The sequence below is a fragment of the Homo sapiens genome, chromosome 1 (assembly GCF_000001405.40).
Source record: "Homo sapiens chromosome 1, GRCh38.p14 Primary Assembly".
NCBI lineage: Eukaryota > Metazoa > Chordata > Mammalia > Primates > Hominidae > Homo > Homo sapiens.
The window spans coordinates 1,159,221-1,172,509 of NC_000001.11; the positions used below are offsets into that span (position 1 = coordinate 1,159,221).

Below are 13,289 nucleotides of genomic sequence, written 5' to 3' on the forward strand. Positions count from 1 at the left end.
GATGGCTGAGACAGGAGAATCACTTGAACCCGGGAGGTGGTGGCTGCAGTGAGCCGAGATCGCACCACTGCACTCCAGCCTGGGCAACAGAGCCAGACTCCATTTAAAAAAAGAAAAGCAGGTGAGGACGTGTGAGCAAGTCTGGGCCATGCTGCCAAGCTCCCGCTTCTCCGAGCAGCTCCACACAAGGAGCAGAGGCAGCTCCAGTTCCACAGCCAGACACAGTCATTTTCCCTCTACTCAGGAATTAGGCAGGATGGTGTGGGGCCTGAGTGTCACCATGAAGCCGGGAAGCAGGTGTTCAGCCAGACGCAAATATTCCTCCTCAAAGCCAGGGGAGCGGCCACAGTGGATTTTATTATGGGGCGACGGGGGCACGCCCAGTGCCCCGCCACTCTCCATGTCCACAGCAGCGAGGGTGGAGGGCCCTGTGCTGTGCAGGGCAGAGCTCGGCTGCACCTGGGCCAGGACACAGCTGCCCAGGTGGGAGGAACCGTGGACGGGGCTGGGGCCTTCCTCGTCCCAGGGCTGGTGAGCTGCTCGCTCACTGTTTCTCAGTTCCAGGTAGACACAGTTTATAATTCTGCAGAAAACTCTGGGGCCTTTTGCCTTTGTGTTTTCTTTTTTGAGACAGGGTCTGACTCTGTGGCCCAGGCTGGAGTGCGGTGGTGCGATCACGGTTCACCGAAGCCTCCACCTCCCAGGCTCAGCAATCCTCCCACAGGTGGGCCCACAGGTGTGCACCACCACAGCCAGCTAAGTTTTAAATTTTTTGTAGAGACGGGGTCTCACCATGTTGCCCAGGCTGGTCTCAAACTCCTGGGCTCAGTTGATCCGCCCGCCTCGGCCTCCCAAAGTGCTGGGATTACAGGCGTGAGCCACCGCACCCGGATGGTGTTTTACCACTGAGGTCAGAGGGCAGACGTTGCTCCAAGCGTTTCGTCTGCGGGTGGAGCTTTGGAACTGATGGAGAAGGCAGAGTCCTGACCAGGGGCCGCCATCAGAGCGCAGGGACGGTCGGGGGGGATGCGCAGGGAGGAGGGAAGGGAAGGAAGGAGGTGCCAAGCCCTCCGCTCAGTGGAGGTCAGTGGAGGTTTGCTTCCTGCTCACACTGGGCCTGATTGGGTCGGAGGGCACGCGGGGGCCGCTGTCTGTCCTCCGTGGGGCCTTGGCTTGTGTCCAAGGGAGGGAGACAGTAGAGGGACCCACGGCTCTGTGAGGCGTTCCCTGGCATGACCTCACCTGTGTGCTCTCTCTCCCTGTCTCAGTCAGAGCTGAACCCAGGCTCCTGTGGACCAAGAGGGGGTCCAGGAAGAACTGCTCCTGGGACCCGGACAGAGCGGAGGCCGTGTGCACGAGCAGCGTGGACCAGAGGGGCCTCGGGGGCCACCTGCTCCGTCCGACCAGGCACCAGTCCTTCCAGACTCGCCTGAGGATGCCCGTGGGCCCCAGCGACACCTGGGGTGCCCCCCACACCCCTGCACCTACCTGAGACCAAGGGTGGTGGTGGGGCTGTGTGCCTGAGTCCTGGCCCTCCCAGGGCCACCCTCAGGAGCGGCTGCACAGGCTCTGGCTGGCCGGGGCTCAGAGCAGCCCACGGAGCCAGGCCCATCCTGGGAGGCTCAGGGCTGCAGCCCATGGACTCATGAGGGGGGCTTCTGGGGTCTAAGGCCAGAAGTGACCTTTCTTCTCACGGAGGCACCCCCACATCACAGGCCCCAAGCTCCCACCAGGAGTCCCCAGGCAGCAGGTTTTCCACCACAGCCGGGAAGAGCCCCGCCTTCACCACCCACCACCAGCCAATCCCGAGACCACCGAAGCCCCCAGACCGGGCCCTTTGCCCCTCCTGCCCCCCGGCTCTCCCTACTGCCCAGAGCCTCCGCCAGCACCCAGGGACCCACGTCCACCTCCCAGAGCGGCCCTGCCCAGGGTCCTTCCCTGCCCTCCACGATTCTCCGTGGCCCTTGGAGAAAGAGCAGCTTCTCCCCAGGCTCTGCCCCCAGCCCTTCCACCCCAGAGCCTCTGCCCAGACGTCCCGTCCCATCCCGGGGGGCTGTCACGCTTCCGCCCCACCTCTCGCCCATTCCCGGACAGTCACAGCCGTGGAACAACGCAGCGTGTGGACACAGCCCCAGGGAAGCTTGACTCTGCCTGGTCCCCATGGCGTGCGGTGGCTCACCAGCCGCCCCCATCGCTCCATGAAATCTGACTACACCTGTCCCAAAAATCAACCAGCTCCCAGGCAGGTCCCGCCGTGCAGGGGGCCAAGGGCCACACCTGGGACCAGTGAGTGAGGCGGCGTGCGGGTAGTGGGGGTGTGAGCCCGAGACGGGGGTCCAGCCTTCTCCCACTTGGATGCCAACAGCAGACTCTGGATTTGGAGGTGTGGGCGGTGCCTTAGTCTCCCCAGAAGACAAGAGCCCACCCGCCGGGTGTGTCCTGACCCCACCCCCACCTGCCCCACACAGACACCTGAGTGGGCATCAGAGTGGGCCGGGCCCTGACTGTCCGGGGGAGGGACTGTTGGGGCAAGGGCAGTGGGTCAGAGGTCACCGGTGCCCCCAGGACCAGTTTCCAGCGAGAAGAGAGCCAGGAGCCCCGGGCACAGGCCCACGGTGATGAGGCTCCTGACCGAGCTCCCAGAGCTCATTATGGAAAACCGTGGGGTCCGCTGGGACCTCTCTGCTGGTCGGGCTAATTACAGACCGTTTGTCGTTTCATTATGGGCTCTTCCTCTGGGAGATGCGAGAAGCAAACACTTTGCCATGGGAGGGGCGCTTCCCGGACCGGGCGGGGGCCCTGCCCTCCCCACCCCCAGACCCCTGGTCCCCCAGGCCTTCCAAGCTCCCAAAGAAAACTTGAACCCCCACTCCAGGGGCTCCAAAGTAACCTCCAGAGCCCAGATGGGGATGTTCCGGGAGCTGCTGGGGCCTCTCAGCTGTCCCTGCCTCGCAGGGAGGCTCAGGAAGGCACCCACACCCCTCCCTCATTCCCCCAGCTGTGGGTCTGTGGGGTCTCGGAGCCTCTTGCCCATTGGGGTGGGACTGGGGGCACGTAGCTCCTCCGAGCCCCTGGCGAGGAGACCGATCCTGAGACCCACCTGGGCCTACGGGGGGTCCCTTCATTGCTCCAAAATTAAGGGCTGCGGGCCTGGAGCAAAGACAGGCAGGTATGGCCCCTGCCCTCTGTCCATGAGAGGCCTCAGCCCCATGGGACAGGGCACCACCGCTGCAGGGAGGCGGCGGGCAGGTTGTGACCCCTCACCCTGGGGCCACCCTACCCGCTTCTAAGGCAGCCTGGGAAGGAGCCCTGCGGAGCTGGGGGGTGGGGAGGCAGAGGTGGAGAGGCGAGAGTTGCCCGCGGCTGCCCCTACCCCTGCCCATGTCGCCCACACTCCACACGGGCCCCACAGAAGCCTTCCCATCCTGGCTTTTGTTCAACCTCGGTGGGCGGCAAGGTGGGGGCGGGACGGAGTCTGCGGGGCCTGCGGGGCCCGGGCCTGCGTCACCGTCACTGGCCCGCCTCCCGCCCGGCCTATGGGAGCCCAGGGGACACACCTGTCGGGGGCCAGGAGCGGAGATTGGCCAGCGGGAGCTCGCACCTGTGTGGGGCGGGGAGCACTGCTCCTTGTAAGGCGAGCCCCCGCCGAGCCGGCTCTTCCCTCCCGAGGCCCCCACCTCGCCACCGCCTCCCATTGTCCCGTCGCCCTCGAAACTCTCCCAGAGACGGGCGAGTTGTCCACCTGTGCAGGTCTGAACTGACTTCCTGTGCCAGGGCCTCGCCTGAGCGGGGGCAGGAAGCTCACCCTTGCAGGTCTCCCCGCGCCAACGGACGCCCTGAGGCCTGACCCTGGCTGAGGCAGAGCACCCAGCTCCGTGGACCGGGACGGACGGGCTCAGGTGCCCCCCATTCCTTCCGAAGCCGGTTCACACCCACCCGGGCCTGGCACAGGGGAGGCGCTGGCTGCAGGGTCGGGGCGGGAGCAGCCTCAACCCGGCTCCTGGGCCGCGGCCGCAGCAGTGGAACCTGTCGGGGCAGGTAAGGGCGGGCAGCGGGGAGGCTGAGGCGCAGGGGGAGGCGGCTCCCTGCAGGGGGGCCCTCGCCAGCCCCCGCCGTGGCCGACGTGGGGCAGGGGCGCAGGTGACAGATGGGCTGTCGCCAGCCTGGCCAGCGTCCAGGGGAGCTCCGGTCACTGCAGACACAGGCTGGAGCGGGTCCTTCCCCCCCCCAGGGAAAGGTGGGCCCCTGCGCAGATGCGGCTGGGTTTCGGGTGTGGAGCCATCTTGGACCCACGGGCTGCGTCTTCCGGGCACGGGCACAGTGTGTGGGCTCCAGGCATGGGGTGCCCTCAGGGCAGGGCCTGGGCAGAGGGCAGGCTCCGAGAGGGGTCACGTTCTTGCCGCCTACCTGACAGCAGGCCTTCTAGAAAGTTCTCTCCAGAAGCAGCCACCGCCGTCCTGAGGCACTTTGTGCGGAGACGGGAAGCTGTCGCCTCAGAGGTGGGTGCGTAGAAGGGTTTGGCCGGGTGCGAGGATGACCGCGTCTCCCTTGGGCTCTGGAGTCTGCGGTGGGAAGGGCTTGGTTTCAGCACCCTCTGGTCAGAGGCCGGCCGAGCCCATGGGCGGTGAGGTTGGTGCCTGGGGTCGTGGCTGGTCTGGTACAGGTGGGGCTCAGCCCGGAGAAGCTGGAGCCGGTTCCCAGGCCCCGCGCTATGACTGGGGTGGGGGCAACGTCTCTCGTGAGGTTTTTTACTTAAATGTGAAACGGCTCAGTACGGTGGCCGCAGCCGGGAACAAGGTCCGACCCACCGAGGCCCAGCCTTGAACTTGCCGCGGGGGCACCTGAACACGGTTTTACAGCCCGGATCACTGGCTTTCTTGAAGTTTGGGAACTGATTGATCATGGTGGCGGGAGGTAAGGTTCATTGTTCTTGATGAACAAAATTCTTAGGGCGTGAAGAGCCGATGCTTTAATTAACCCCCCGGGAGCGTCTCAGGCCTCCCCCCGGGAGCGTCTCAGGCCCCGTTTACGCTGAGTGTCTGGGGAAAGACGTGGTTTGGTTTTGTTTTTCTAGTAACCCAGATGAAATGTTTAAAAGCATGGTTGGCAGCACATTGAATTTGGCAAAATTAAGGTTTGCATTTGTGAAAATGCGGATGCAGTTTGCGGTTCTTTTCAGACATTTTGGTAATTTGCAAATACTTATTTGCGAAACGAGTTTGTCAGAACATTTTTTAGTATCTAGAGGAAGATGAGATGGGCCGAGGAGGTCGCGCACCCCTGGATCCCTGGAGGAGCTGGTGTGTTCTCTGTGGGGCGGGTGGACGTGGCCCGGACACACGGGCCGTGCTCACAGCCGGCCTGCGAGGGCTGCAAATCCACGCCCGCCGTGTGGGTGAAATGGCGGCTTTGCCTCCCAGACGCGTAGCTCCGGCGACGCAGAGGGAAGAACCTGAGTGCCCGCCAGGCCGAGCTCCGCACCCCACCCCCCGGCAGCCTCTGACTCCCGGCTCGGCTCCCGCGGTCGGGGAGGGTTGGATTTCACACTTTGTTCTCGAGGCCGCACCATTGATTAAGCCCGTCGGGCAGGTTAACCAACAAGTTAGGTTTTCACGCCGGGATCACATTCCTCGCCGGGCGCTCCCACCCCACCCCAGCCTGTGCAGGTGGGACCCGGCCAGGCAGGCGGGCAGGGCGGCCAGGTGCGCCGAGGGGCGCCTCCACGGGGAGTGTGCTCCGCAGAGAACCCCTTGCTGGGGCGGCTCTGGGCCTCCTGACTCACTCCTGGATTTTCCCAAGCTGAGTCTGGCCCCGCGGTGATGATTAACCCAACACCTCAACCGGCACCGCCACGCTAGCTCCACTTCCCGGCGACGGTTGACAAGAAAGCGCCGCGTGGGGCTCTCGGAAAACAGGGAAGGTCCGTTTTCGCTTTTCATTTCTTGACCTGTGGCCACGGTAAGACTCGGCCGCCTGCCCACCCGACTCCTTGCCCCTCACCCCTGTGCCAGGCACAAGGCCCTGCGAAATCCTTGGTCCCCCAGCTGAGCCTGCCGGCCCAGGCCACCATCTCCCCACCCAGCCCTGGAGCCAGGGTCGGCCTCTCCTGCTAGCTGCTCGTTGGCTTTACAGCTTCTGCACTCAGGAGGCGCCTGGGAATCCTGCCCTGGAACTTAGGAAGGAGGCTTCTCCCACCTGCCTGCCACACGGGTCTGTCCCTGGGTCCCAGCCTCTGCCGTGTGCCCCTCAGCCTCCCGGGTGAGAACGCAATGACTGATGAGCCTGGGGTGGCCAGGCCAGCTCTGGCCCTGTGGGGTTCCTGAGAAGGCTGGCCCTGGGTGGCCAAGGGCCTGGGGACACTGGCCCCGGGCCCTGAACCTGGCAGTGGGAGGCCGGCCCGTCCGCCGGGTGGGCTGGGAACTGTGTTTGGCCCCAGCTGCAAGGGACGAGTGCCGGGCACCTGCTGCCCTCCCCACGTGACCTGGCAGCCAGGAATGGAGCTGAAATTCAACTCTGCTCTGAACGGGAAGTCTTAGTTTCCTTTAGCTCAGAAAACAGGTGAAATTGTGTTCCTGAAGCACTGATTTGATGGGATTTGATGGCATTGGTGGCGAAGGCCTGTGAGGTGATGGAAAGGGAAAGCCGGGTGCCCTGGAGCCTGACAGGCTGGGGCCAGGGCAGGGGACCTGGTGTGGGGTCTCCGGAGAGGGTCCAGGCGTGAGGGAAGCTGGGTCAGGACCTCGGAGACGTGGCCTTTGGAGGAGGAGACTGGAACCGGGTGGACCCGGCAGCAGGCGGGGGCGGGCGGACACGACCTTTGTTGTGGTCGGCGGGCAGACAGGGGAATCGGCACAGGGCCTGCGCCCCACCTACAGCCTCTGTGGGTGGAAGGTGCCAGAAAACTTGAAGAGTGGCTCTGGCCAGCTCTCTGGGCCCAGTTGGCACCAGGTGGTTGCAGAGAAAGGGTGGGAAGGAGGACAGGAAGGACGGCGTGTCCAGCGGGCGGGGAGCCTTGGTCTGGCCTGAGGGCTGAACCTCCCTCGGGTCCTGAGTGTGCCTGGAGTAGAAGCCTAGGGTCTCTGGGCTCCAGGCAGGGCCCTGAGCAAGGAGGGGCCACAGGGCTGCCCACTTCCTCCTGCCCCCCTGCAGAGGCGGCTCAGCCCTCGCGGCGTCTGAGGCTTGACTGCCTGTGTCTGTGTTTGTGGCCGGTCTGCCTCTGTGCCTGGGTCAGACCCCAGACCAGCAGACACACAAACCGCAGGGACGGCTGGGCAGGGTCAGGAGCCTGCCCCGCCCGCACCCCCACCCACACCCCCACCCCCACCCCCGCCTGCACCCCCTGCCCTCAGACGCTGTGCAGTGAGCGGGGCAGCATGGGAGAGGGGTCTCCAGGTGGCGGGGACCGTTCTGTCTCGAGAGCCTCGCAGACACCGGGCCTTTGAGAAGAGAAGGGGCTGGGCAGGGAAGCAGCTCCTGGAACACCATCCTGGAGACAGAGGCCCTTGTCCCCTGCCTCAGACAAGGCAGCACGTGGGGCCCGGGGGGCTGGGGCTGCTGTCCAGGCCTTCCTATGGGACCACCCAGAGGGAAGGTCCCCCGCAGAGGGGTGGGGGCAGAGGGCCGAGCGGGGCGGGCAGAGGGCCCGTGTCAGCCCCACTCCGACCTAGTCCTCGGCCGTCTGGCCAGGACACTTCGGCCCCCCAGGTGCCCACCCCAGGACCCAAAGCTGGTGGCTGCTGGACTCGGCAGGGCTGGCGGGTGGGGCTCACCCGGGCCCCTGCCCTCCGGCGATGCTGTCCTCAGTGCCCCAGGAGGACGAGGCCCCCCAGCTACTGAGCTTCCCAGCGAGTCCCATGCAACCCTCAGCCGGGCGGCCCCCGGACCCAGCTCGGGCAGCCGTGGCCATCTTACTGGGCAGCATTGGATGGAGTCAGGTCTCTAATACTGCCTGGTAATGATGACGGCGGAGCCCTGCACGCAGCGACCGGCCGACCCCGTCCCGGCCCCCAGGGCCTCCCGCCGAGCCCCACACTCCCCTCCCACACAGCCCGCTCACCGGACCCCACCCCGTCCGGGCCAGATGGCTCTGGGGAGAGTGACGGGGGGACGTGACCTTCGGAAGGGGGCTGGGGCGCCCCCCACCAGCATCTCAGAGACCCCGGAATGCAAGGCCTCCTGCAGCTGCACCCAGGGCGCCCCACAGTGATCTGGGGATTAGGACGCTCAGGTGTCCGGGCCCTGCCCACAGCGCCTGGGCGGGAGCTGCTGTCACACCCAGCAGGTGCGGGCCGAGCAGGACCCAACAGAGGGCTCAGGAGGGCAAGGCCCAACCGGGAGCCACGTGGAACCCAGAGGAAGCCGCCCCACCCAGCTTGGCCACAGCCATCTTCCCTCCTGCCGGACAGGGTGGGCCGGCCACCGAGCAGACCAGTGCCCCCGCCTTGGTCCCGGGTCAGCAGCCCCAGGGTCCCCTTGCCCTGGAGGAAGCAGGGAGGGTGGGCCTGTGTGCAGTCTCAGGGCCCCCAAGCCCCTCTCCGCCAGCCCTGTCCGGTCCCGGCACCACCCCTGGCTGCTCACCGCTCCGGTTCTTCCCTGGGCTTCCACAGCAGCCCCTGCCTGCCTGGCGGGACCCCACGTCCCTCCCGGGCCCCTGTGAGCATCTTACCGGACAGTGCTGGATTTCCCAGCTTGACTCTAACACTGTCTGGTAACGATGTTCAAAGGTGACCCGCCGCTCGCCGGGGACACCACCGAGGCACATCCGGAGCTCCTACTCCAGGGATGGGCTGGGGCGGAGGGCCGAGCGGGGCCAGCAGACGGGTGAGGGCGGAGGGCCGAGCGGGGCCAGCAGACGGGTGAGGGCGGAGGGCCGAGCGGGGCCAGCAGACGGGTGAGGGCGGAGGGCTGAGCGGGCGGCAGAGGGCCTGTGTCAGCTCCGAAGTCCAGCCCCCAGGGGAGGGGCCGGCCTCTGCCGGGGGTGCCCCCGGGGTCACTCACGCCCAGGCTGGGTCTGACACCTTGAGGACCCCTTGGTGCCTCCACAGGTGGCCTGGAGGGCATCCTGCTCCCCCTCCCGGAGCCGCTGTGCCTCCCCCACCCAACCTCCCAGGCTGGGTTTTAGGGTGACCTGGCTCCAGGAAAGGCCATAGGGCTGGGATGCCAGGGCTGGAGAGGGAAGAGCAACAGTGGCCTCTCTCACGTGGTCCGGGCTCCGTGGAGGGTCTGCTGGGGGCGCAGGAAGGACAAGGTGGGTTCAGATTCCCGAGCCCCACCATGCAGGGGAGCGGGGACGCTCTGCGCTTGCCCTCTGAGGGACAAGGGGTCTCATTCCTTCCCCCAGTCAACAAGAACAGGAACTTTGTCCAAAACCCACCAGGCCAGGATGACCCATTGTTTCATCTTTTCCATCTGCAACCAGGGCGCCTGGGACCGCACCCCCACACAAGGCCCCAGCCTGGGGAGGGGGCAGCCACCGGGGAGAGGCTGCCCTTCACTGTTACTCATTAACCCGACCGAGCTTCAGGAAGCCAGCGAGGGGCTGCAGGGAACCTTTGCCAAGAGCAGGGCCTGGGTGACCAGGTGGCTCCCGGGTACCCCCACACAGCCAGGCTGGGCTGGGACCAGGTGCTGGGATGGGGGCTGTCAGGGAAGTGCCTCGGGGGCTCGTTCTGCAGACCCAGGAGGGATCAGGGCAGCTGCAGGAGGTGGCAGGAGCCGCCCCCGGGGCCTTCCCTTCACAGGCCCCGCAGACACCAGCCCAGGACCCGGAGGCCACCCACACCACCGCCGGCCGATGGGCGTCTTACCAGACATGGTTAGACCTGGCCCTCTGTCTAATACTGTCTGGTAAAACCGTCCATCCGCTGCCTGATCACCGTTAGAGGAGAGAGCTGCCTGCCCTGCAGCTCATCAGTGCAAAGCCGCCCGGTCTGGGGCTCTCATGCCCCCCTCACTATGGCCTGTGCCCATCCGCAGCCCATCAGTGCAAAGCCGCCGGGGTCTGGGGCTCTTGTGCCCCACCCTCGCCATGGCCTGTGCCCACCCGGCCTCCTGGGGCCCTCGAGCTGTAGTCCCCGGGCAGATGCTGTGGACCCCGTGCTATCAGCCTGGCCCCTGGGGTCACAGTCACAGATACCCGGAGCCCCACCCCACAGCCCCAGCCCCCTCGCCACCTGGGGAGGCTGAGACAGAAGCAGCTGGGCCCCCCAAAGTGCCTGAGCCCAGGGCACGGAGGAGCACAAATGCCCAGCAGGGACAATGTCACAGCGTCTCAGCGGCCAGGCAGCAGGACGCAGAGACCTCTGGGAGGTTCCCGGGGCCAGCCCTGGCCCTCCTCCTCCAGGGGCCAGCCGTGGGATGCAGACCACACTCTCCCTCCAGGGCCCATCTCTGGGGCTGAGGCGGGCGGGGCCGGTGCCCAGCTGCAAGACCATGGGATAGGGAAGGCAGGTGCTTGGGGCCACGCAGCCCTGCACTGGGGGCCCCTCCACCCCAGGCGGCTCACGAGGTGTCATCTGGAGCTGTCCCCAAGCCGGGATCTGCAGGTTGACCTCCCCCACCCGGGGCTATCTCCAGACCCTCTTTCCTCCCTGGGGAGATGGGGCAGTCCCCCGCAGGGCCAGCTGAAACCACCCCCATGCTGCTGCCGCCTGAGCGACGTGTGTGGGGAAGAACTTGGAGTGCCACCCCCAGAATGTGGCGTCCACCTCACCAGACCGCACGGGTGAGCCCTGGACTGCAAGGTGCATATAACACAAGGTTTGGACACACCTGGAGAGCTCGGGCCAGGCAGGGCCACACCTGTGAGCCTGAGCTCATCCAACACCGCCCGGAGCTCGGGGACCTTCCCCATCCCAGCACCTCCTCACCGCTGTGCCCGTCTGGCCAGTCCCTCCAAGCACCCCTCGGATGAAGTTGCGCCCCACACTGCAGTGGGGCTCACTCTCCACAGCGCCTGCTGCGTTGCACGGGGTGTGACAGGAAGGACCCTGCTGGGGCTGGCGGGGCCGTACCCAGAGCCTCCCTGTGCGGTTTCTCCTCCTCCTCCTCCTCTCCATAAGCACCGGGAACAAAACAGAAAAAAGTCTTTGTATAGTAATAAAGTCTGCAGTTCACGCACCCATGCTTGGACCAGCTCCTTATTTTAACCACACGTGCACAGACCCCCGCCGTGCAAAGGGCCCAGCTGAGGACAGAACCCCAGACACTGCATCCGGCCCCGGAGGCCCCCAAGGTTCCTGGGAGAGGCTCCCTCCCTCCCTTCCCTCCTCTTTCCCTCCCCCTCCTCCTTCCTCTCCTCCATCCCTCCTTCCCCCTCCTCCCTCCTCCTCCTCTCTCCGTCCCTCCCTCCCTCCTTCTTTTGCTCAGGAATCTTCCCTGACTCTCCTGTGGTCAGCTCAGGTCAAGGTTCTGGGGGAAGGGGGAGTCCCTGAGTGGAGACACCTCAGCCTGTGCTGAAGGGAGCTACCGAGGGGGCAGCCGGTGGCCCTGGGGGGCCTCTCTGAGCAGGTGACCAAGAGCGTATGGTGCCGGCCAGCAGGAGCGAGGGCTGCGGACAGGATGGAGGCAGCCAGGCGCCAGCCAGGAGGGCTTCCTGGTCCAGCCACACCTGCCCCGGTGACAGCCACAGGTTGGTGGCAAAGGGGCCACCTCCCTTCCAGTGGCAGGGCCTGGCCTGCCTGGAGACCCCACCCACTGCCCGAGAGGTGCCAGGCCTCCCCCATTCTGCCTGGCCCTGGGGGCTGCACCCACCTGGACACGCGGGCCGGGCACACCCACGGCCCAAGGTCCTGCTCCCACCTGCCCTGCGCAGGAACCTTGCTGGGGCTACAGGTATCCGTGGCTGCCACACCACCCAGATTTTGGGATTAAGGGGCAGAGTTTTCAAGTTTGAACTCAGGAAAGCTGTGAGGGACGAGGTAGTGCCTGGCTGGGGAGCCTGGGGGCTTCTGAGGGCGGTGGGGAGTCCTCAGGCCTGTGTGGGGCCCCAGGGAGGGGAGGCTGCAGGGGTTGGGGGACCTGCCCGCTGCACCCCCTCTCCCCCCACACAAGGAAACCCGTCCTCCGAGGTGTGTGTCCAGATCACATCCTCCAAAGGCCGGTGCGCCACAAAGATGAACACGGGGCTCTCCCTCCCAGCCCAGGGGCAAGGACCCTGCCTTGCTCTGTTCCCGGAAGGGCCAGTTCTGGAGAGGAGCTGGGCGAGTCCTTCCCATCCCCATCAGCTCCTGTCAGGCCACCTGCCTCAGCCTCAGGGAGGAGGGGACACACGTAGGCCCCTTCCCAGAGTCAGAGCTTCCGAACCCGGATCTGCTGCTCCCAGCCTGGAGAGCCACAGCAGCCACCGAAGGAACCCCCCACCCGTCACCCCCACCAAGTGGGCCCTGCTCCCCGAAGGCCCAGCCACTCAGCCCAGGACCTGCCCCAGCCCCACCTGCCACCTGACCTGAGGCTCCCAGAGGGCAGAGGGGCCTCCTGGGTCTGCTCCGCACCAGGGTCCAGCGGGACCATCTCAAAGCTTGAGCACCAGGCGCAAGGTGGGAGTGCGGGGAGGGGACGAGGACACTGTTCCCAGCTGGACAGAACCAGGAGGACGGTGGGAGACGCCCCCCACCGCCCCGCTTCCGAGAGCTCTCTCTTCCTTCCAGGGACTCCCCAGGGACAGCCGGGGCCCCTTCTTCCCCCACAGCTCAGGCCCCAGGGACACAGAGCGGGGAACCCCCAGGCTGCCGCCCCGGCGTGGGTCGGGGAGGCGGCTCCGGAGCGGGCACCACACTCTCGAAAGGGTGGCTTCTCCTCCCGGCTGCTGAAAAACCACACAGGCAGGCACAACAACAGACGCTTACGCCCGCATCTGGAGGCCAGAACTCCAAAGCCACAGGGCAGGCAGGGCTGCACCCCTCTGGGGGCTCCAGGAGAGGACCCTGTCTGCCTCCCCAGCCCCTGCCAGCTCAGGCATCAGTGGCTGTGGCCGTGTCACCCATCTCTGCCCCCCAGTCCCACGGCGTCTCCCCCACGTCTGCGTCTCCTCTCTCCACCTCCCTCTCAGGGGGGCAGAGGCCATTGATTCAGGGCCTGCCCTGGGTGATGTCACTAGAGATCCTGACGTAACCCCACCTGCAAAGCCCCTTCTTCTAAATAAGGTCACATTCGAGGTTTCAGGGCTATGATGTGGTTGTCTTTTGGGGGCACCACCAGCCCCCTGCAAGGGGACCCTAAGCACAGAGGCCCTCGTGACCCACGCAAAGCTCTGAAGGACACGGATGGGTAGGGGACACGTGGCTGGAGGC

General features: G+C 66.0%; 2 long non-coding RNA genes and 3 other non-coding genes across 6 annotated transcripts in view, besides 1 other annotated feature; all 5 read left to right on the forward strand.

Annotated features, from left to right (window-relative positions):
- LOC124903820 (uncharacterized) overlaps nucleotides 1-2,720 on the forward strand; it is a 33,257-nt gene extending 30,537 nt beyond the window's left edge. For both annotated transcript variants that reach the window (XR_007065351.1, XR_007065350.1), the window contains one exon: nucleotides 1,269-2,720. This is a non-coding gene — a long non-coding RNA (uncharacterized LOC124903820). The remainder of the gene's footprint in view (nucleotides 1-1,268) is intronic.
- Nucleotides 2,721-3,656: 936 nt separating this feature from the next.
- Nucleotides 3,657-11,118, forward strand: MIR200BHG (MIR200B, MIR200A and MIR429 host gene). The gene is made up of 2 exons (XR_007065348.1): nucleotides 3,657-4,038; nucleotides 4,415-11,118. It is a non-coding gene; the product is annotated as an MIR200B, MIR200A and MIR429 host gene (long non-coding RNA).
- Nucleotides 7,884-7,978, forward strand: MIR200B (microRNA 200b). Its single transcript, NR_029639.1, has one exon. It is a non-coding gene; the product is annotated as a microRNA 200b (primary transcript).
- MIR200A (microRNA 200a) lies at nucleotides 8,643-8,732 on the forward strand. The gene has a single exon (NR_029834.1). It is a non-coding gene; the product is annotated as a microRNA 200a (primary transcript).
- On the forward strand, nucleotides 9,785-9,867 carry MIR429 (microRNA 429). Its single transcript, NR_029957.1, has one exon. It is a non-coding gene; the product is annotated as a microRNA 429 (primary transcript).
- Nucleotides 11,586-12,153: an enhancer, noted in NCBI's record as "H3K27ac-H3K4me1 hESC enhancer chr1:1106186-1106753 (GRCh37/hg19 assembly coordinates)". NCBI's record gives its function as "activates a minimal SCP1, AML or CMV promoter by ChIP-STARR-seq in primed H9 embryonic stem cells {active_cell/tissue: H9 hESC(primed)}" and the evidence as "EXISTENCE:reporter gene assay evidence [ECO:0000049][PMID:30033119]".